Source organism: Homo sapiens, chromosome 3 (assembly GCF_000001405.40).
Source record: "Homo sapiens chromosome 3, GRCh38.p14 Primary Assembly".
In the NCBI taxonomy this organism is placed as follows: domain Eukaryota; kingdom Metazoa; phylum Chordata; class Mammalia; order Primates; family Hominidae; genus Homo; species Homo sapiens.
Window position 1 is genome coordinate 85792825 of NC_000003.12, and position 24064 is coordinate 85816888.

A 24064-nucleotide genomic window follows, 5' to 3' on the forward strand; every position below is an offset into this window, starting at 1 on the left:
TTCAAAGATCTCTCTTTACTACTTCGCTTATTGCTTTTATGCTCTAAGGTTACATCATAGCCTATCACAGAGGTAAGAGTGGCCATAATTTTAGAATTTTCTTCTTTATGTCCTATGTGATAGTGTGCTGGATTCTTGGTGGTTAGACAGTGAAGGCACCATGGAACATTTGAGGGAGGGACAGCTCTTAACTAACTGAGGTCAACAGGAGTCAAGACTCAGTTCACTTGATTCTGAACTTGATAATTCCTAATGTATTCAAAAAAGGTTTGACCATTCTTTCTCTAAGTATATGACAGATGGCAACATTGAAGGAATAATGGCAACTGCTCAGTCTGCTATTTAAAGATAGGACCAGGAGAGTTATTTTTTCAGGATATTGAATCATTGCTCTTCATTAAAATGTATTTCATGGCAATAAATTAAGAACATTATTTCTGCATAACTCCTGAAACTAACTTAGATGGTTTTCAACCACTGGTGTTAGTTAGAGAGAACTAAACTTGGCAGCCAAAGAAAAACTAGCAATTCAAGATCACTGTTCACAGAGTAGAGGAAAAAAGGGAGCCTATTTGAAGGATTTTTATTGGAAGAATTGTGGGTACGAATGGGGAAAAAGCTAAAAATACGCACAGAAGCACCAAAAAGAGATATCAAGGATGGGTTTCAGAGGTGTGCTGTAAATGTTTACCAACATGCTCTATGGAGAAAATCATTGAGCTGTGGTGTTTGCCAACTTCCCTAGTTAAAATACACCCTCTGTGGTCAGTTTCAAGCTGCCAACCTATGTCACTGAGCATGAATTGAGACGAGTTTCACCTACTTGATGCTCTGGAGCTGGTGTGAGCCAACTCCAGCACATTAAGCTTTTACTTGGATTTCAAATGTTCATTCTCTTATTAAAAATAGGTGTAAAAGGTCTAAATGCATCTTTGACATGTTTGACTATAAACTATGTTTTGCTTTTATCACAGTTGTTTAGTCAGAATTGAATTTACCTTATTTTCCTGGCCACTGAAAAGTCTCTATTAAAATGGATGTTGATGCAAGATTTATTGGACAAGGAAGAAAAGGTAAAATACTTTCAAAATCACAGAACTGCATCTACCTAAAAAGGCTTAGGTAGGGCTTATACTTAATATTCAAAAAATGTTAATTATATGCCTATTTTTCCCTTTAAGGTGCATAAATATGGCATAGTCCTGTCATTTCAGGTCTTATTTTAGGGGTTTAATAGTCAGATATATCTGTTCTGGATCACCATCTGTTTTATCTTCATACATATAATCCTTATGTATTTTACTTATAATTTTAAAAAGTCTTAAGATGTGATACTAATATATCTTTAAGGTTTTTATGATTTAAATTTTCCATATATTTTCTCAGTGAAGAATTAGTCTTTCTTTTTGGCCTTCCATCTTGACCATGAACAAATGCATGAGACTTAAGTTACCTTGGTCATTCTACTGTCAAAAGGGCCCCTGCAAATGCCAGCCATTGTTTTAAGATGGTGCATTTACTTTAGATGATGAACACCTTTTGAGAGCTTCTATTTACTATCCAATATGGTAAACAGTGTAGCTGATTAAAAGATAAGTAAGATGTCTCAGTTACTATAACCTTAATTGGATTAGAATCAAGTAAGGGAGAGAGATATTTACACAAATGATAAGAGGAAGTAAACACTAGAAGGAGAGGAAGAAAATAATAAATGTAACTTGCTTGGAAAAGTAGCCAGCTTCTAAGATTCCCAACTGAAAGTTTTGTTTCTTTTAAATCCTGTCATATGCTTGTTTGATAAGAATGACTCCTCTGAAATCTAGGATGGTGGTGAGCTTAGCCAGACCCAGTGTTATTTTAAAATAAGCTCTCGATGATATGACCAATGTATATTAAAAATCCTTGTAGATGGTAAACAAGATCCATACTGTACCATCTGGGCTGTTTTCTTCCTGGTCATTACACTCTCTCCTAAAGTATCTAATTACTTTGCGGACTCCTTAGTAAGCTTCTCTTTCTTTACCCATCCTTCAGATGTTGATTCATACAAAGCAAGGCACATAGTAGGTTCTCTATATAGTAGGTCATCTATGTAATTATTGAATTAAGGCCAAGATTTTTAAATTTTAAAAAATATATTTTAATTGACAAATAATAATTTTGCATGTTTTTGGGGTACAATGTGATTTTTTGATCTATGCAAACATTACAAAAATATTCCATCAAGCTAATTAGCATATTCATCACCTCACCAACTTAACCATTATTTTTGTGGTAAGAACATTAAAAATCTATTATTTTGGTAATTCTGAAATACACAACATATTATTATTAATTATGGTTACCTGGTAGCATACTAATTTTGCTAATTTGAAAAATTAGTAACTTCTTTGGAAAGACTCTAAGATTGAATGGAGACCTTGAACCATGAAGAGTTAAAAGATAAAGTAGCAGCTAACTCATGCTCTCTTCAGGTTAAAATCAGAAGTAAAAGGCAATTCATAGCTTTGAGACTTTTGACTATCTACAACAAAGCTTTTGAATTGATTTTGGAAACCACATATCCCAAGGGCATTTAGGATTAGGAGATTCTCCACAGAAGCTTGCTCTGTATTGGGAAAAACTAAGTTATTTGACTGCAGGGATTTTAGGCTGCGGGTCCTAGAGAACTAAAATCATACTTCAAAGTCAGAATACATGTGGGGAGAAGATGGAGGGAAGCTATTCTAATCTCCAACCTGGAAGAACGAGGTATAGGTAAACTAGTGTATATTAAATATCTGGCATGTAGAGGACTCTAACAAACATTAGTTTCTTTCTTCTATGGTCCAGTAAGAAAAAATAAATTATAAAAGTAAGGTATCAATAAGATAAGATATTTAGGGACAGTTAGTTATCAAAAATACGTTATCAAGAGGATAAGATATTTAAGAACAGTTAGTATTGACATCTTAAATTTCCAATTTAAAGTTTCAAATGGTGACTCATTTGTTTTCATTGTTGTCTAATTTACATTTAAACAAACAGGGATAAAGCCTTTGTGAATAGATAAGAATGAAAATGTTGAACTTTCAGAACAAACTCCAAATGGTTCATTGACTTTGTTTCACCATGGAAAAATCACTTCACCTCCCAGTGTCAGTTTGCCCATCTGTGAAATGAGAAGGATGATATTTTCTTATGGGAATGTTTTGAAAATTGTTTTGTAAATGTAGTGGATGAGATTTTCGCAAGCATCACTGCTCTTTTTCCACTTATTTAAAGAAGCAAACAGTCTTATTTATGTACTGGTTGATCATCAAAATGTCATCTGGGCTGAACCATGTATATTTTTATTAGCAATTGCGTGCTTTTTATTGCTTAAAGAATAACTCCCTGATTGCTCAATTTATGCATTATATCAATATCAGGGACCCAAGAAAAGTGTTTTGAAACCATTTGGAGCTTCATATTTCTGAGCTCCTAATCTCTGGTAATTATTTCTTCTTTCTGTCTTACATCATGTTTTCTCTGATGTGGTTTTTCGCCTCACCTCACTTCACAAGATTGATAGTTCTCCATGTCGCCTTGCTAGAGGTCACCTCTGAGCTGAAGGCAAAACACATCCCACTGTGGCTCCTGTTGACTTTCAAGTCAACTATCCAGGAATTTATTCCAGACATTTTCTAACCTCAATTTAAAAACTCCACCCTAAAAATTACAGGGCGATGGCAACTCTGAGAGGTTGGCATTGAGGAGACAAAGCCTCTGATATCAGATTTTTTACTTGATAGGCTTAATTTTGTAAGGTGATCACGAACCTCTATGCTTGTGTCATTTAGGTGTGGAAAGAAATTTTCCCCTTCAGAATCTTCTGTCTCTTATGGTGCCAATCAACACACTTCTGGGTAATAAGATTTTTTTTTCCAGTGGGGGAACAGCGCTTATCAAGCATTTTATTTATTGAGCCACAAATAGCCTGTATTTGCACAATAAGAAAATTACTTCTCTGGCCAGTTGTGGTGGCTCATGCCTGTAATCCCAGCACTTTAAGAGGCCAAGATGGGCTTATCACGAGGTCAAGAGATCAAGACCATCCTGGCCAACATGGTGAAATCCTGTCTCTACTAAAAATGCAAAAATTAACTGGGTGTGGTGACACGCACCTGCAGTTCCAGCTACTCGGGAGGCTGAGCAGGAGAATCACTTGAACTCAGGAGGCGGAGGTTGCAGTGAGCCAAGATTACGCCACTGCACTCCAGCCTGGCAAGAGAGCAAGAATCCATTTAAAAAAAAAAAAAGAAAAAGAAAAAAAAAAAGAAAATTACCTGTCCAAAGCAGAAGTGCCCAGTTTTAGGAAAATCTTTTTGTTACATAGCAATAAACATTCTCTTCTATAAAGTTAGGTGGAAACTTGTTATTTTTTGGATAGAAACCATCTGAGTTTTAGAACTTTATAATTTTTTTTTTAACTTCAAGTTCTGGCATACACGTGCAGAACGTGCAGGTTTGTTCCATAGGTATACATGTGCCATGGTGGTTTGCTGCACCTATCAACCCATCATCTACATTAAGTATTTCTCCAAATGCTATCCCTCCCCTTACCCCACTACCCCAACAGGCCCTGGTGTGTGATGTTCCTCTCCTTGTATCCATATATATGTTCCATTGTTCAACTCCCACTTATGAGTGAGAACATGCGGTGTTTGGTTTTGTGTTTCTGTGTTAGTTTGCTGAGAATGACGGTTTCCAGATTCATCCATATCCCTGCAAAGGACATGAACTCATCCTTTTTTTATGGCTGCATAGTATTCCATGGTGTATATGTGCCACATTTTCTTTATCCAGTCTAACATTGGTGGGCATTTGGGTTGGTTCCAAGTCTTTGCTATTGTGAATACAGCTGCAATAAACATGTGTGTGCATGTGTCTTTATAGCATAATGATTTATAATCCTTTGGGTATATACCCAGTAGTGGGATTGCTGGGTCAAATGGTATTTCTAGTTCTAGATCCTTGAGGAATTACCACACTGCCTTCCACAATGGTTGAGCTAATTTCTACTCCCACCAACAGTGAAAAAGCGTGCCTGTATCTCCACATCCTTTCCAGCATCTGTTGTTTCCTGACTTTTTAATGAGTGCCATTCTAACAGGCATGAGATAGTATCTCATTGTGGTTTTGATTTGCATTTCTCTAATGACCAGTGATGATGAACTTTTTTTTTCATATGTTTATTGGATGCATAAATGTCTTCTTTTGAGAAGTGTCTGTTCATATCCTTTGCCCACTTTTTGATGGGGTCGTTTGTTTGTTTGTTTGTTTTGTAAATTTGTTTAAGTTCCTGGTAGATTCAGGATATTAGACCTTTGTCAGATGGATAGATTGCAAAAATTTTCTCCCATTCCTTAGGTTGCCTATTCACTCTGATGATAGTTTCTTTCGCTGTGTAGAAGTTCTTTAGTTTAAGTAGATCTCATTTGTTAATTTTGGCTTTTGTTGCAATTGCTTTGGTGTTTTAGTCATGAAGTCTTTGCCCATGCCTATGTCCTGAATGATAACATCTAGGTTTTCATCTAGGGTTTTTACGGTTTCAGATCTTAATGTTTAAATCTTTAATCCATCTTGAGTTAATTTTTGTATAAGGTGTAAGGAAGGGGTCCAGTTTCAGTTTTCTGCATATGGCTAGCCAATTTTCCCAACACCATTTATTAAATAGGGAATCCTTTCCCCATTGCTTCTTTTTGTCACGTTTGTCAAAGATCAGATGGTTGTAGATGTGTGGCATTATTTCTGAGGACTCTGTTCTTTTCCATTGCTCTATATTTCTGTTTTGGTGCCAGTACCATGCTGTTTTGGTTACTGCAGCCTTGTGATATAGTTTTAAGTCAGTTAGTGTGATGCCTCCAGCTTTGTTCTTTTTGCTTAGGATTGTCTTGGCCATATGGGCTCTTTTTTGGTTCCATATGAAATTTAAAGTAGTTTTTTTTCTAATTCTGTGAAGCAAGTCAATGGTAGCTTGATGGGGATGGCATTGAATCTATAAATTACTTTGGAAATTATGGCCATTTTCACAATATTGATTCTTCCTATCCATGAGCATAGAATGTTTTTCCATTTGTTTTTGTCCCCTCTTATTTTTTTGAGCAGTGGTTTGTAGTTCTCTTTGAAGAGGTCCTTCACATCCCTTGTAAGTTGTATTTCTAGGTGTTTTATTCTCTTTGTAGCAATTGTGAATGGGAGTTTGCTCATTATTTGGCTCTCTGTTTGTCTGTTATTGTGTGTAGGAATGCCTGTGATTTTTGCACATTGATTTTGTATCCTGAGACTTTGTTGAAGTTGCTTATCAGCTTAAGGAGTTTTTGGGCTTAGACGATGGGGTGTTCTAAATATACAATCATGTCATCTGCAAACAGAGATAATTTGACTTCCTCTCTTCCTATTTGAATACCCTTTATTTCTTTCTCTCGCCTGATTGTTCTGGCTAGAATTTCCAATACTATGTTGAATAGGAGTGGTGAGAGAGGGCATCCTTGTCTTGTGCCAGTTTTCAAAGGGAATGCTTCCAGCTTTTGCCCATTCATTATGATATTGGCTGTGGGTTTGCCATAAGTAGCTCTTATTATTTTGAAATATGTTCCATCAATACCTAGTTTATTGAGTGTTTTTAGCATGAAGGGGTGTTGAATTTCGTCAAAGGCCTTTTCTTTATCTATTGAGATAATCATGTGGTTTTTGTCATTGGTTCTGTTTATGTGATGGATTACATTTATTGATTTGAGTATGTTGAACCAGACTTGCATCCCCAGGATGAAATGACTTGATCGTGGTGGATAAGGTTTTTAATGTGCTGCTGGATTTTGCTGGTGGTTCACTCCAGACCCTGTTTGCCTGGGTATTACCAGCGGAGGCTGCAGAACAGCAAAGATTGCTGCCTGCTCCTTCCTGTAGAAGCTTCATCCCAGAGTGGCACCTGCCAGATGCCAGCTGGAGCTCTCCTGTATGAGGTGTCTGTCAACCACTGCTGGGAGGTGTCTCCACCTCAGGAGGCATGGGTATCAGGGACCCACTTGAGGAGGCAATCTGTCCCTTAGCAGAGTTCGAGCATTGTGCTGGAAGATCAGCTGCTATCTTCAGAGCTAGCAGGCAGGAACATTTAAGTCTGTTGAAGCTGCACCCACAGCCGTCCCTTTCCCCAAGGGCTCTGTCTCAGGAAGATGGAAGTTTCATCTATAAGCCCCTGACTACGGCTGCTGCCTTTCTTTTAGGGATGCCCTGCTCAGAGAGGAGGAATCTAGAGAGGCAGTGTGGAAACAGAGGATTTTTGTCGCTGCAGTGGGCTCCACCTAGTCTGAACTTCCTGGAGGCTTTGTTTACATTGTGAGGGGCAAACTGCCTACTCAAGCCTCAGTAATAGCAGACACCCCTCCCTCTACGAAGCTCGAGTATCCCAGGTTGACTTCAGACTGCTCTGCTGGCAGCAAGAATTTCAAGCCAGTGGATTTTAGCTTGCTGGGCTCCATGGTGGTGGGATCCACTGAGAAGACCTCTTGGCTCCCTGGCTTCAGCCGTCTTTCCATTGGAGTGAACAGTTCTGTCTTGCTGGAGTTCCAGGCACTACTGGGATACCAAAAACAAACAAACAAACAAACAAACAAAACTCCTGCAGCTAGCTCAGTGTCTGCCCAAATGGCTGCCCAGTTTTGTGCTTGAGACTTAGGGCCCTTGTGGTATAGGCACCCGAGGTAATCTCCTGGTCTGTGGGTTGCAAAGACCATGGGAAAAGCATAGTATCTGGGCCAGATAGCACCATCCCTTACAGCACAGGACCTCATGGCTTCTCTTATTTAGGGGAGGGAGTTCCCTGACCCCTTGCACTTCCTGGGTGAAGTGACACACCACCCTACTTCTGCTCGCCCTCCATGGGCTGCACCCACTGTCTAACCAGTCCCATTGAGATGAACTGGGTACCTCTGTTGGAAATGCAGAAATCACCCACCTTCTGCCTTGGTCTCACTGGGAGCTGCAGACTGGAGCTGTTCCTATTTGGCCATCTGGCCGGGGAATCCCTGGTAATAAGATTCTTACGCCAATAGTTCCAGCATAACCTCAAGTGGTGCTTGTAGTAATTATTGAATCATTACAAAACTAAAGAAGAAAAGGAAATATATTTCATGGATGTGATTAAGTCATTATAGTGTTCTTGCATATGTAAATTATCCTTGACTTAATGAACTCCCTTGCTTACATAATAATATTTTAACCTGGTTCTAGAAAGTCATTCTTACCCATGTTAATCATGGTTATCAGACTTAGCAGAGTTTATCTTCAGATCATCTTGCTGAAGAGAAATTTATGTATTATGTATCCGTGTGCATAAATTTTGATTAAACTATTAGAAGTGCACTTATTAAGTAAATTTATTACATGAATTACTTTAACAAATTAGTAAAATGCTTAAGAAGAGCAAAACCTTGATTACATACTGATGATATCCAAATTAACAAGGGTCATTTAAAAATATGTATTTTTCTGATTATAAAAGAAATATGTATTACTTGGAGAAAATCGAGAAACTACAGAAAGGAACAAAGAAGAGTATTAACCTATATCACCTAGGATTAATAATTTAGAGTTTGAATGGATATTCTACACTTTTTAAAGAGTACTCCCACTGTTTTACACAATACATTTTGTATTTCTAAAAAGAGCTAAATCTACAAGAAAACCTAGTTAAGTGGGATTCATTTTTTATTTCCTTTATCAGAAATTGAATCTAAAGTTTGAGTATCCATATTTCAAAAACTTTATTCAGGATTATAAAAGCTACCAGGGAAATATTTTATGTTTCCTCTACTGCTTTAGAGAGTTCAACTCATCCAAAATTATTTCAGTGCTTTATCTTCAACAATGACCAAGTTTAGTACCGTATTAACTAATGCAAAGCCTAGGGAAAGTAATAAATATAATATTACTATTTGAATATAAATCTTTATGTATGCCTAGGACAAAAAAAGTTTCCTAGAACATGTAGGGAGTACAAAGGAGTCTTAATTATATGTCAATGCTGTTGTTCTCTGAGGATTTTCAATTATTTTTCTGTCTTTTGTAATATACAGTTTTGTCGTTGTTTGGTTGTTTTAAATTTTATTTTGCATGAGAAGTTAAGGCCAGTGTAGATCTTAGGCAGTTAATCATTTTATGACTTTCATTTAATCAACATTTTCTTTAATCCCCTTTTAGGCAGCCAAGGGCAGTTTCCACTAACACAGAATGTAACCGTTGTTGAAGGTGGAACTGCAATTTTGACCTGCAGGGTTGATCAAAATGATAACACCTCCCTCCAGTGGTCAAATCCAGCTCAACAGACTCTGTACTTTGACGACAAGAAAGGTGAATACATTTTCTTTCAAATGTTTTAATCGTATTCTAAAATATCCTAATTACAATAAATTTATTTTTCTGAGATGATTCAAACTATTCCTTTTGATTACCAAACTGCTGCTGCTTGTATTTAAACATGTTAAATATTAAATACTTTAGTTTGCAAGTCATAAACACCAAAGATAACCTATGTCAACTTTTTAATAAAATAAACACTCATAATTCTGTTTCGAAAATAGTTTTATGCCTTCTCTTAACAACCATTTCCTGTCTAGGTACCATATTTTCTCACTCTTGTAGCTATGTTGTGTATAGTTTGAGTTTTTTTCTTTCTCCTGATAATATAATATGATTTTTATGGAAATTAGGTTTATATATTTGGAAGATGCAATATGATTTTGAAAAGTTTAATGATTTTATTTTCATGACTTTGCTCCGAAACTAAGAATTGTAAAAATGATTCACAGAATGTTGAAGTATTTCATGTTTCCAAAATAAACTGAAATTAAGTAAGAAGCTGTAGTTTTTAAAGTTGAATTGGACTTCATTAACTAATTTCAACTTCTTACTGGATAATAGATTTTGATTAAACATTCCAGAGAAAAAAGGAAATTCATCTTACGTAATCCAAGCAAACAACTAAAAATGCACACAAATGTCTAAGCTTTCATCCATTATTAGATGAAAAAGTGAATCCATAACTGTAATGAAAATATGAGACTGTTGCTTAAGATACATGTATATTATATAGGATATAAATAACTATTTATATATTAGCTATTCTTATTCTTAAAATTAACTATTAGTCTTAATATATTTTTTAATGAATCTGTATAGGTAATTGTAAGATAACTTCAAATCAGCTCCATTTAAACAATTAAAATATCACATACAGTCTAATAAATGTGCTCAGTCCACCTTTAATATGTATTCATTATATTTTGTTCATTGTTACAATTTTTCTTCTTTGATGTCCTCTAGATTTAAAATGAAATCTTTAGTTTGTTTTAAATATTAAATATATAATGAAGGAGTGATGAAGCATCTAATTCATTTATTTGATAAATATTTATTGAGAGTCCCTTTGTACCAGGCATTAAAATTAGGGAGCAGGAAGTTCATAGTGTCTGCCTTTTTAGGGAATACAGTGTAGTGGAGGAGACAGACAATAAAGAAACATGCAAATGAAATACATTATATCATACATTAAAAGGGGACAAGTGCTATGCAGAAGAATGAACCAGGGATAAAGGAACTGTTAGGGGCCTCCAGGGAGACAAAATGAAGAAACAGACAGATAGATAGATAGATAAATAGATAGATAGATAGATAGATAGATAGATAGATCAATTGATCGATATTTATTTTAATAAATTGGCTCAAGTAATTTTGGGGTCTGGCAAGTTTGAAAAATGCAGGGCAGGCTGGTAGGCTGGAGACCCAAAGAGATTCTGTTGCAGCTCATGTCCAGAGGCAGTGTCAGGGAGAATTTCTTCTTCCTTAGGGTACTTAGAGGACTTCAGACTTTCTCATAAGGCCTTCCACTGATTGAGTGTCTCCTGTCCACATTATGGAGAATAATCTGCTTTACTCAAAGTCTACTATTTTAAATGTTAAACTCATCTAAAAAAATACCTTCACAGAAACATCTAGATGATTGTTTAACCAAACATCTGGGAACAGTGGCCCAGTCATATTGACATTTAATATAAAATTATTGACATATTGACAGTTAATATAAAATTTACTGTCATGGACAGTTAATACCTAATACTCAAGTAGAACTTTATTATTTAGAAAGAGATTTAATTTGCAGTTTCAGTTTTCTTTCCAACAAATGAAGTTCTACTAGTTAAAAAAATTAAATGCATACACAAAGTCACTCATAGAGATTAAACAATCTCTTTTTGCTTTTCGTATTAATTGGTTACAAATATTAGTAAATAAATATTTAAAGTGTATGCTCAAATATAAGGTGGTGCCAATTTTAAGGACATGTCTCATTTGCTTGAAACTATGATGCAAAAGAAAATGTTCTGGAAAAAAATAGACTTCTGGAAATGTTCATTACGAAACTAAATATATTATTATATTAGTTAATTTGTCAACTTGGTTATACATACATATTTAAAGTAATATGGAAAAATATTAATTTATAAATACTACTTTTTTCCATCCCTGTGTTTAATGAAGCAATCTTGCTTATTAGCAGTTTTTGAAAGTGTAGCACACTATCAACAACAAATTTGTCCCAAGCAGCAACTATAAACTTTTATAACATTAGAACATTTTTTGTTGTTGTTCATTCATCCCACAGGTGTATAATGACAATCTCCACTTTATAACAACACTTGTACTGCTTTTTAAGGAGATTTTTAAGAGTCATGTTTACAGTGACATCTCCAATCGTGAGGTCAAATCCTCAGGCACAAAGACAAAATCTATATGAAATGCCCTTGCCTCCACTTTTAGTGATTCTATAAGTTATCCTCTAAAAAACATCTAAAACTAGAAAACTAGAATTGATTTGGGATATTTCAAGCTAATGTATCTTTCCTGGAGAAAACAGAGAGCAACTTGCCATAAAAGATTTGCAAAGACTTGAATATAAGGCAGCCTCCTTTTTTCTGAGGGATAATTATGAGGAGAAAAAAAGTCATGCCATATTTGGGAAATATGGTAATATATTCCTGCATCTTTACACTGCCTTGAAATAATAAATACACCAGTTCTATGAATTGTTGAAGTATGCACTTTTTTTTTGGTTTTGTTTTGGGACAGGGTCTCATTTTGTTGCTCAGGGAGTTCAGTGGCACGATCTTGGCTCACTGCATCCTCCGCTTCCTCGGCTCCAGCAATTCTCCTGCCTCAGCCTCCTGATTAGCTGGGAGTACAGGCATGTGCCACCATGCCCAGCTAATTTTTTTTGTATTTTTTGTGTAGACTGGGTTTCACCATGTTATCCAGGCTAGGCTGCAACTCCTGAGCTCAAGCAATCCTCCTGCCTTGGCCTCTCAAAGTTCTGGGATTACAGGCATGAGCCACCGTGCCGGGCCAGGACTGACTTTACTTAATTTTCCGTTCCCAGATGCTGTAATAGCTTAGTTAGATTGGAGAAAAGCCTATGTATGTGTTTGTGTTTGTAGTATGATAGGTTTCTGTTTTTGATACTATGCTTTTTCTAACTCTATTGTGGTTCTAAACGTCAGTTGCAGTAAAACAACAGAGAGCATTGAAGAAAGAAATCCTTTGGCAATCTAACATACCTATTCCCTCATATGTCAGTGCTTCAATTTCCTTCTTCTTTTTTTTTCTTTTCTCGTCCTCACTATCTGTTCCCAAGAGTGGTTCAATTTCTATGTGATATCTTAGTTGAAGGGATTCTTGGACAGTAATACCTATCAAATGCAAGAGTTTGAAATTGAAAGCATTTTAAAAGATTCCATATTACAATTTTCCACACATCATCTTTTAATCTGCAATTACCTAACTCTCACCAATTTTAAGGCTTGTCTTGAGCAAGCAAGCATTCCAAGTTGTACCAGAGCCTAAGTGAAGAAGGTGAGCATGAGTTAGACTAGAGTAACGCATACTTGTTTTACTAGTGAAGACTGCACATGAGAGCAAGAGAGAAAAGGGAAGGAATGGGTTGTCTGTGTCATTGATTATACCATCTCCTGCAGGTGGCTGCTACTGTTAAAGCTTCATCTATAGCCTCACTCTTCTTTCTGTCTCAGATTGTGCTTCCAGTGGTTCTTAGCCGTAGCTACACAGTAAAATCACTTAGGGGATTTTCAAACACAGTCTTCCAGCGGTATGCAGTATCAGAATATTTTAATTATATCTCAAATGATTAGAAAATGCAGCTGTGATTGAGACACTTGGGTTTAGGCAAGTCAACTCTCTGAAGAGTTCTGCATCCCTGAGCTTGGATTTCTGTATTGATAAATGTTACTGAGCATGGAAGGAAGAAAAGAAGCGAGGGAGGGAGGGAGGGAGGGAGGAAGGAAGGAAGGAAAGAAGGAAGGAAGGAAGGAAGGATTTCTGTATTGATAAATGTTACTGAGCATGGAAGGAAGAAAAGAATGGAAGGGAGGGAGGGAGGAAGGACAAACTGCTCAGAAAAAGAACAAGTGCTGATCACTGCCTCACAACCATTACTACTGCTACTATGAGCTCCGAGAGGCATCCCGTAGCATTTCATGCTACCTGGAGGTGTAAGTTTCCAAGGGTCCTGGCTATGAACGAGAAATTCAGGATGGCAGCCCACATGTCATGTTAGAGTTGGAAAAGCCTTGTTTACATGAATTTATTAACTGAATAAAAACATGCTGTGAGTGGTCAGTTGAATCAAGTAAAGGAGAATTAGGCTGAACCCCCTTTCCTAGGGGTCTCTGTCAGTGACTTTAAATGTGAATATTCATGTAATCCTAGCCACTTGGGAGGCTGAGGCATGAGCATTGCTTGAACCCAGGAACCGGAGGTTGCAGTGAGCTGAGATCGCGCTACTGCACTCCAGCCTGGGTGATAGAGTGAGGCTCTGTCTCAAAAACAAAACAAAACAAAACAAACAAACAAAACAAACAAAAAGTGAATATTCGGGAATCTCTTCCCCGGGGAGATAGGAGTCTAGTGGGGGAATTGGCTAAGGTGAATCTAATACTGTCATATTTCTCACTGAGGTAAAATAAAGACGAAGGCAGCAAATTCAAGCTTTTACAACTTTTTTGCCATGTTTAATGTGATCAGTAGCTTGTGTCCATTGATAAATGGAAAAAATAAGACCTAACAATCAAGGATATTTCTTCACAGACATTCAGCTAATGTCTGGTAGTGAAGAACTTTGAATCCAGGTGTAGCTTTTGCCTTGATTTTAACTGAAATATTCCTGAAAGCAATGGCATTTGGACGCCATGTCATTTTAAATGTAACCTGGGCAGCCTCTGCCATTGATCTTGGCAGCTTACTTTTGTTAAAGAGCAGCATGTCATTTCAAACTATTGAAGATATACATAGATTAAGACAGAAGGGCCAGGCATGGTAGCTCACACCTGTAATCCCAGCACTTTGGGAGGCTGTGGCAGGCGGATCACCTGAGGTCAGGAGTTTGAGACCAGCCTGGCCAACGTGACGAAAAACCATCTCTACTAAAAATACAAAAATTATCTGGGCATGGTGGCGGATGCCAATAACCCCAGCTACTTGGGAGACTGAGGCAGGAGAATCACTTGAGCTGTGGAGGCAGAGGTTGCAGTGAACTGAGATTGTACCATTGCTCTCCAGCCTAGGCATCGAGAGTGAAACTCCGTCTCAAAAAAAAAAAAAAAAAAAGACAAAAAGACAGAAGAATATATTATAATCAGCATTGTCCACGAGAACATTCCATGATGATGGGAATATTCCATATCTGGGCTGAGCTGAACAATTCAGTTGTCATGTGTAGATATTTAAATTTAAATTAATAAAAATAGAGTAAAATTTAAAAATTTGGTTTCTGCCACACTAGACATATTTCAAGTACTCAATATCCTCCCATGCCCAGCACTTACTGTTTTGGAAAGCACAATTCTAGATGCTGATTCACTCATCAGATGTCATAATATACCTTGTCCAGTTCCAGCCTTGGCTAGTAGAATATGTTATTTTTAACTGAGAAAACCCTTAGGCTATCATAAAAACATGCATCAAATATTCAATAAATGATTTTTTTTTACCATTTAAATTGTACAGCTTTCAGGGGGACATTGTGGCACAGGAGACAGAGAGTCAGATCTGAATTTAAATTCTGCCTTTGACACCAGCCAGCAGGGTAATAAAAGGTGTTCATTGACACCCCATTACTGGTGGTTGGACCAGAATTGTATTTTAACGAGTTCCCTGTCTGCCTTGTGTGCACCCAAAAATCAGAAATCATTAGCCTACAAAGTCGAAATTCAATTACAATTCCACTTCATTTCTGTACAGCCTAAGTATGAAGTCTTTTTCTATAATACTTAAGAATCTGCAAAAACTAAATAGAAAATAAGAATCAAGAGGAAAATTTATAGATCCTTATGGGTCAGAGAGACCTAGAATAGATGTAGCTAAGGCAACATTCACTTGTTATAATCCTCTTCTCTTTCTTTTTACATAAATCTTAGCACCTCTGTTATAAATAGTTGATAAGCATTTGGAATAGAGTGGGTATAGGGAGACAGAGCAAGTGGGGAGTAGAGGTCATTGAAACACCACATAAATGCTGTGTGGTATTGGCAATGGAAAAAAAAATCAATTAGATCGTAGTGTCTGTTTCTCTGCAGGTGCAGAAGGAAAAAAACAATTGAAGTAGCACAATCTGATCAGTTAATGCTCAGGAAAGAACACTTCAATTCCTTCCTATTATTGACAAAAATACTTTGAACAAGCATCTCCAGGAGCCCATAACACACACATTCAACAGATACATCTCTGTGAGCTTGTATGTGTTTTTATATAAAAATGTAAAATACATGACTTTTTTGTGATTTTCTTCTCAATATTTCAACTTTTAAATTTTTTTAATAATCCTTAAAAATTTCCTAAAGAAATCAAAATAAAAATTTATTAAAGACATAGCTTTAAATCATTGGTGTTAATTAGCCAATTATTCTAATAATTTTACACTAATACTGGGAACAATGGAAGAGGAAAAACATGAGTAAATTGTCCTAAAACTAAGACCGATAAAGAGAAGAAAAATGAGATGAACCAGAATTGGAGGTACAGGTTCTCCTGGCTCTATGCCAATCCATGCCACCTGACTGTATATCTCCACAACTGCTATCAATCAATTTGACAGGCTTTATTAAAGATTAACTGAGTAAAACAGGTGTTGCATTTGGCTACTATTACCCTTCTTTTGTTTTCTTTTAAAAATGCAGCTATTATATATCTGTACAATAAAAATGTGAAATTAATAATGATAGCTTATAGTTATACAGTAAAGTTATTAGATAACTTTCAGCATGTTTACCTTTTGTCTTTGAGTTCTCAACAATACTATACAGTAGGCATTCCTATTTTATATGTAAAGACACTGAGGTTTACATATTTAAATAACTTGAGTAGTAAATGACAAAGCAATGAAGAGACTTGAGTTTTCTGGCCAGGTGAGGTGGCTCACACCTGTAATCCCAGCACTTTGGGAGGTTGAGGCGGGTGGACCACTTGAGGTCAGGAGTTTGAGACAAGCCTGGCCAACATGGTGAAACCCCATCTCCACTAAAAATACAAAAATTAGCTGGGTGTGGTGGCATGCACCTGTAATCCCAGCTACTCGGGAGTCTGAAGCAAGAGAATTGCTTGAACCCAGGAGGCAGAGGTTGCAGTGAACCAATATAGCCTGGGCAACACAGAAAGACCCTGTCTCATAAAAAAAGGGAAACTTGAGTTTTCTTACGACAAGTCTAATTCACTTTGTGTTTCATTATGCTGAAAAATGAAACATTTTCTCCCTTCCTTCCTTCCTTCCTTCCTTCCTTCCTTCCTTCCTTCCTTCCTTCCTTCCTTCCTTCGTTCCTTCCCTCCCTCCCTCCCTCCTCTCTCCCTCCCTCCCTCCCTCTCTCTCTCTCTCTCTCTCTCTCTCTCTTTCTTTCTTTCTTTCTTTCTGTGGGAATTATAGTTTCTGGTTCTGTATTTCAAAGTCACTCTTTCTGATTGATCTCTTCAAAACATCTTATCTCATATTTAAACCCTACCACACCACAATATTCTCATATGTATTAGTAAATTTCCTAGCAAGTGCATGCATATTGAATCGTGTTCCCCTTAGGAATTAAATGGTACATTGCAGTTAAAGAAGAATAAATGGGCCAATAATACAGATACAGGCATAATTAAGGAAACTAGCCAAAATGATGCACACCCAGAAAGTAGCGACAGTAGGAGAACATCCTACTTTGGTGTCTGTAAGAGAAATAAAATTAACTAAAGTTACAGTTATGGGAGAAGGCTTCTGGTTAAGAGCTATGACTGGCTGAGAAGGGATAGATGTATGAAAATATGTAAATTGACATCTCTTTTCTCCCAACCTCTGTTCTCTTGTCAATTCCTTCTGGGCTGATCCCAGATGAAAACCATAGGTCAAGGGATCCTGAGTAGCTTAGTCTTCTAAGGTAAAGAGTGTGGATCTGGAAGATGAACAGAAAGGAAAGAGTATAGCATATCATGCATACACAGAGATTTCTACATACCCAATTTTCAGTTAAGATAATTCCATTGAAAATCTTGGGTTATTTTATGCTTATGCTTGCAACTACCTTCAGTTGCATTGCTTCTCTGGGAAGATATTTAATACATATGTTAAAGTATATGCTCATAGAATTCTGTTTTTTTTTTTTTTTTTTTTTTTTGGAGACTAAGTCTCACTTCGTCACCCAGGCTGGAGTGCAGTGGTGCTGTGTTGGCTCACTGCAACCTCTGCTTCCCAGGTTCAGGTGATTCTCCTGCCTCAGCCTCCCCAGTAGCTGGAACTATACATGTGCACCACCATACCTGGCTAATTTTTGTATTTTTAGTAGAGAAGAGGTTTCACCATGTTGACCACGCTGGTCTCGAACTCCTGACCTCAAGAGATCCGCCTGCCTCAGCCTCCCCAAGTGCTGGGATTACAGGCGTGAACCACCATGCCTGGCCTCATAGCCTTCTTAAAGAATTTACTTCTACTTTTGCTGAAGATGAAGCCATTATTGGCAATTCTTTAAACATAAAGAAAATCTTCGGTTGTGGATTGTATAATTACTACATTTACTTCTTTAGGCCTGTGCATTTTGAGTCCAGCAATTTTAAATAATGATAATATATGCTATAAATTTTGGCAGTTACATGAATAACAACATGTTAAGCTGTAAGCATCAAGACTGAAATGTTGACATTCAAAGCAACATATGCATGCCTAAATTGTTTCCACAAATTTTAATTTTTGGACATCAAAATCAGGATAATTTCCATATTTGATATTATATTTTAGGGAAATTATATGCCTACTTTTGATAATACTTTCTGCAATGTTTTTTGAAATCAAAGTGACATTTTCTACAAATAAGTGCTGATGACCAGGTAAAAATGACCAAATTCTTGAATTAAGTCCTTTTAAAAGTTATTGGCCATTGTTGTTTGTAAACATATATTTTACTAAAACCCTACTAAAAGAAAAATTATTTTAACAAACACTGAACAGTTTTATTCTACCTTCTAATGATTAATTTATGTATTATTTTATCATTCAACAAATATTTGCTGATCATCTACTGTGTGATGGGCACTGTGCCAGGTTGTTTGCAGTTATCGCAGCTCACTGATATTTGAGAAGCCTATTTCATGTTGAATAGAGCAGCTTGAAAGAAAACTTGTTCTGATGAAAATTTGGGTTCCATTATCTTTTAATCATGTGTGTTTCTGGGTACATATTTTGTAAGTACATTTATAAGTTGGCAAAACATACAGAATTAGCACATGGTCAACAATGATTGCAATGACTTTAAATCATCTAGGAGTATCATTTTAGACGGTTGTGGCAGTAGAAGTGGGATGATGAACTGGCTAGACTCAGACTGAGTAGATAGTCACCACCATTGTGTATATATTTTCCTCTCTCAAAACAAAGGAATAAACAATGCAAAGAGTGACCAGTTTCCTGGAAAATGCCTTGATGTTTTTTTTTTTTTTTTTTGTGATACTTTAGATTCCCCATTTTGAGCATTAGTAGCTTTTAAGGAAGGCAGGCTTCACTAAACAAGTGTCAATCTGTGCACATCTAAGCATATTTGATAGTTGAAAGATTTCCAAGTCACAATTTCAGTTCAACTGTATGGATATCTATAAAATATTGCTATGCCCTGGGAATTATGCTGGGCATTGAGAATACTAAAATAAATAAAATATGGATTTTGGCATCAAGTGTCAAGTTGTCAGGTACCATCTATATATGGGTGTGGTGGAAGGGATACAGGGCAAGGGAAATTATTAAGTCAAGCAATCTGCAGGTAGGTAACTGTAATTCTACTTGTTGCATAATAAACTATTCCAGGAGATGCAAAATGAGTAAGTAATCGATAAAATTATCCTTCATGAGTCTAGAAAAAAAATAATTCGACTTGAAAATATTCATGACTGAAAACAGGCTTTTTTGATAAAGTGAATTCCTTTAAAGTAATTATAACTGAACTATGTACCATTTGTCAAATATAAAGAGTAACAATGTACTGCACCGGGGCCTAATTTCTTGGTGACATACTGATTTCTGGTGACATAGTGTCTCCATGTTGAATAGACTTTTAATCAGGATCAGCACAGGCATCATGATAATTTAAGATATTCTAACATTCTCTTTTTAATTTTTTAATTTTTATTTTTTATTATTTTACTTTAGGTTCTGGGGCATATGTGCAGAACATGCAGTTTTGTTACATAGCTATACACATGCCATGGTGGTTTGCTGCACACATCAACCCATCACCTACATTAAGTATTTCTACTAATGTTATCCCTCCCCTATACCCCCACACCCTGACAGGCCTCAGTGTGTGATGTTCCCCTCCCTGTGTCCATGTGTTCTCCTTGTTCAACTACCACTTATGAGTGAGAACATGTGGTGTTTGGTTTTCCGTTCTTGTGACAATTTGGTGAAAATGATGGTTTCCAGTTTCATCCATGTCCCTGCAAACAATATGAACTCATCCTTCTTTATCGCTTCATAGTATTCCATGGTGTATATGTACCACATTTTCTTTATCCAGTCTATCATTGATGGACATTCGGGTTGGTTCCAAGTCTTTGCTACTGTGAATAGTGCTGCAATAAACATATGTGTGCATGTGTCTTTATAGTAGAATAATTTATAATCCTTTGGGTATATACTCAGTAATGGGATTGCTAGGTCCAATGGTATTTCTAGTTCTAGATCCTTGAGGAATCACCACACTGTCTTCCACAATGGTTGAACTAATTTACCCTCCCACCAACAGTGTAAAAGCATTCCTATTTCTCCACATCCTCTCCAGCATCTGTTGTTTTCTGACTTTTGAATGATTGCCATTCTAACTGGTGTGTGATGGTATCTCACTGTGGTTTTGATTTGCATTTCTCTAATGACCAGTGATGATAAGCTTTTTTTCATGTTTGTTGGCTGCATAAATGTCTTCTTTTGAGAAGTGTCTGTTTATATGCTTTGCCCACTTTTTGATGGGGTTGTTTGTTTTTTTCTTATAAATTTGTTTAAGTTTTTTTAGATTCTGGATATTAGCCCTTTGTCAGAAGGACAGATTGCAAAAATTTCCTACCATTCTGTAGGTTGCGTGATTATAGTTTCTTTTGCTGTGCAGAAGTTCTTTAGTTTAATTAGATCCCCTTTGTCAATTTTGGCTTTTGTTGCCATTGTTTTTGTGTTTTACACATGAAGTCTTTGCTCACGCAGTGTGTCCTGAATGGTATTGTTCAGGTTATCTTCTAGGGTTTTTACGATTTTAGGTCTTACATTTAAGCATTTAATTCATCTTGAGTTGTTTTTTGTATAAGGTGTAGGGAAGGGGTCCAGTTTCAGTTTTCTGTATATGGCTAGTCAGTTTTCCCAACACCATTTATTAAATATGGAATCGTTTCCCCATTGCTTGTTTGTGTCAGGTGTGTCAAAGATCAGATGGTTGTGGATATGTGGTGTTATCTCTGAGGCCTCTGTTCTGTTCCATTGGTCTGTATATCTGTTTTGGTACTACTACCATGCTGTATTGGTTACTGTAGCCTTGTAATATAGTTTGAAGTCAGGTAGTGTGATGCCTCCAGCTTTGTTCTTGTTACTTAGGATTGCCTTGGCTATGCGGGCTCTTTTTTGGTTCCATATGAAGTTTAAAGAATTTTTTTTTCTAATTCTGTGAAGAAAGTCAGTGGTAGGTTGATGGGGATAGCATTGAATCTATAAAATTACTTTGGGCATTATGGCCATTTTCTCCATATTGATTCTTCCTATCCATGAGCATGGAATGTTTTTTCATTTGTTTGTGTCCTCTCTTATTTCCTTGAGCAGTGATTTGTAGTTCTCCTTGAAGAGGTCCTTCATATACCTTATATGTTTTATTCCTAGTTATTTTATTTTCTTAGTAGCAATTGTGAATGGGAGTTCACTCATGATTTGGTCTCTGTTTGTATGTTATTGATGTATAGGAATGCTTGTGATTTTCACACATTGATTTTGCACTAAATGCCCACAAGAGAAAGCAGGAAAGATCTAAAATTGACACCCTAACATAAAAATTCAAAGAACTAGAGAAGCAATAGCAAACAAATTCAAAAACTAGCAGAAGACAAAAAAGAACTAAGATCAGAGCAGAACTGAAGGAGATAGAGACACAAAAACCCTTCAAAAAATCAATGAATCCAGGATCTGGTTTTTTGAAATGATCAACAAAACAGATAGACTGCTAGCCAGACTAATAAAGAAGAAAAGAGAGAAGAATCAAATAGACACAATAAAAAATGATATAGGAAATATCACCACTGATCCCACATAAATACCATCTAACATCAGAGAATACTATAGAAATGGTAGTTCTATAGAATTCTATAGTATATTCTATTCTATAGTATTCTATTCAAATTTATATCCTATAGTGTTCTATAGAATATAGAATATACTATAAAATACTTCTATACAAACTTCTATTCTATAGTATTCTATAGAATATAGAATATTCTACCTATGCAGGTATATAGAATATTCTATAGAATACTATAGAAATACAAACTACCATCAGAGAATACTATAAACACCTCTATGCAAATAAACTAGAAAACCTAGGAGAAATCGATAAATTCCTGGACACATACACCCTCCCAAGTCTAAACCAGGAAGAAGTCGAATCCCTGAATAGACCAATAACAATTTGTGAAATTGAGGCAGTAATGGATAGCCTACAAACTGAAAAAGTCCAGAACCAGACGGATTCACAGCCGAATTCTACAAGGGGTACAAAAAGGAGCTGGTACCATTCCTTCTGAAAGTATTCCAAACAATAGAAAAAGAGGGAATCCTCCCTAACTCCTTTTATGAGGCCAGCATCATCCTGATACCAAAACCTGGCAGAGACACAGCAAAAAAGGAAAATTTCAGGCCAATATCCCTGATGAACATCGATGCGAAAATCCTCAATAAAATACTGGCAAACTGTATCCAGCAGCACATCAAAAAGCTTATCCACCATGATCAAGTCGGCTTCATACTTGGGATGCAAGGCTGGTTCAACATACACAAATCACTAAATGTAATCCAACTCATAAACAGAACCCAAGACAAAAACCACATGATTATCTCAATAGATGCAAAAAAGGTCTTTGACAAAATTCAACAGCTCTTCATGCTAAAAAATTTCAATAAACTATGTATTGATAGAACATATCTCAAAATAATAAGAGCTATTTATGACAAACCCACAGCCAATGTCATACTGAATGGGCAGAAGCTGGAAGCATTCCCTTTGAAAACCGGTGCAAGACAAGGTTGGCCTCTCTCACCACTCCTATTCAACATAGTACTGGAAGTTCTGGCCCGGACAATGAGGCAAGAGAAAGACATAAAGGGTATTCAGTTAGGAAAAGAGGGAGTCAAATTGTCTCTGTTTGCAGATGACATGATTGTATATTTAGAAAACCTCATCATCTCAGCCTGAAATCTCCTTAAGCTGATAAGCAACTTTAGCAAAGTTCAGGATACAAAATATTCTAATATTCTTAAAGTAAATTTCAAAATAGCATTATTACTATAATTCCTTAGTATGTAAAAGAAAATCTTAACAATATCAAAAAACTACTTGTGTATAACAGGCAAATTCAATTCTATTTGTAAGCACATAATTTTGACCCATACCAACAAAATATATTTTTGATAAGATGTATTATTTAAAGTTTACTGTTTAACTTTTACCGTTTTTCCTGTTCTGTGTTTTTCTTAATAATTTGCATCAGACTTTTATAGAGTGATGCCCTCCCCCATAGTGAATCTGTATTTTGGAAATGGAGCTTTTTTTTTTTTCCTTTTTTTAGTTTGAGGCAGGTGTAAACTTAGCTCTAGAGCACCAACCTAAAGGTTATTATACTTAAAAACTTAGAGGCCACTGTATTTTACTGTTCCAGTTTCAACATTCCAGGAGAGAGAAATAGATTGGTTCAGCTTATAATAGGTGCCTCTACTGTGCTTTGAGTTATAGGCAGGAGTGTGTGTACCCTGAGCCAGGAAATAACTATAATTTATAATCTACAATGTACAGTCTCCAGTGTAAATTGTCTGTAATCAATGATGATCCTAATAAATGGTCTTGATGTATAGACTCTATGCAGGGTATTTTCTTTTAATAGAATAGATACTTTATGAAAATAATTTTAACATCAAGTACAAAATGAATGAGAAACCTCTATTTTTCAAATATCGTTTTTCAAATATCATTACATGGCCATCCATACAAAATACTACAGCTTTTAATATCAAAAGGCTTTTTTACAAGTAAACTTGGAAATATTGACTGAAGTACACAAAAATATAAACGAAAAAGGACAAAAACACACACAGCGACTCGCTAAGGCAATACTAATTACAAAATATTAAATTATGAATTTATTGTGGTTATATGTTAAATAATATTAGCTACTTTTCAATGTATTCACTTGATTTTCTTCAGTTATTTTTCTGTATTTATAA

At 36.2% G+C, this 24064-nt stretch overlaps 1 protein-coding gene and 1 long non-coding RNA gene across 18 annotated transcripts in view; one reads left to right on the forward strand and one right to left on the reverse strand.

The window, feature by feature from the left end:
* Positions 1-24064, forward strand: part of CADM2 (cell adhesion molecule 2) — a 1115441-nt gene that overhangs the window by 833836 nt on the left and 257541 nt on the right. For 14 of the 17 annotated variants that reach the window (NM_001375960.1, NM_001167675.2, NM_001375964.1 and 11 more), the window contains one exon: positions 9223-9372. The exons of 2 other annotated variants lie outside the window; for them this stretch is intronic. In NM_001375960.1, coding sequence (NP_001362889.1) covers positions 9223-9372 — 150 coding nt within the window. Of the gene's footprint in view, positions 1-974; positions 1074-9222; positions 9373-24064 lie in introns of all 17 variants that reach the window. One more of the 17 variants, NM_001375961.1, reaches the window with a different exon arrangement.
* The window catches only part of CADM2-AS2 (CADM2 antisense RNA 2), a 28064-nt gene continuing 11162 nt past the window's right edge, over positions 7163-24064 (reverse strand). Inside the window, exons 2-4 of the long non-coding RNA NR_046752.1 lie at positions 12630-12761; positions 7979-8127; positions 7163-7599 (exon numbers count right to left, since the gene is read on the reverse strand). This is a non-coding gene — a long non-coding RNA (CADM2 antisense RNA 2). The remainder of the gene's footprint in view (positions 7600-7978; positions 8128-12629; positions 12762-24064) is intronic.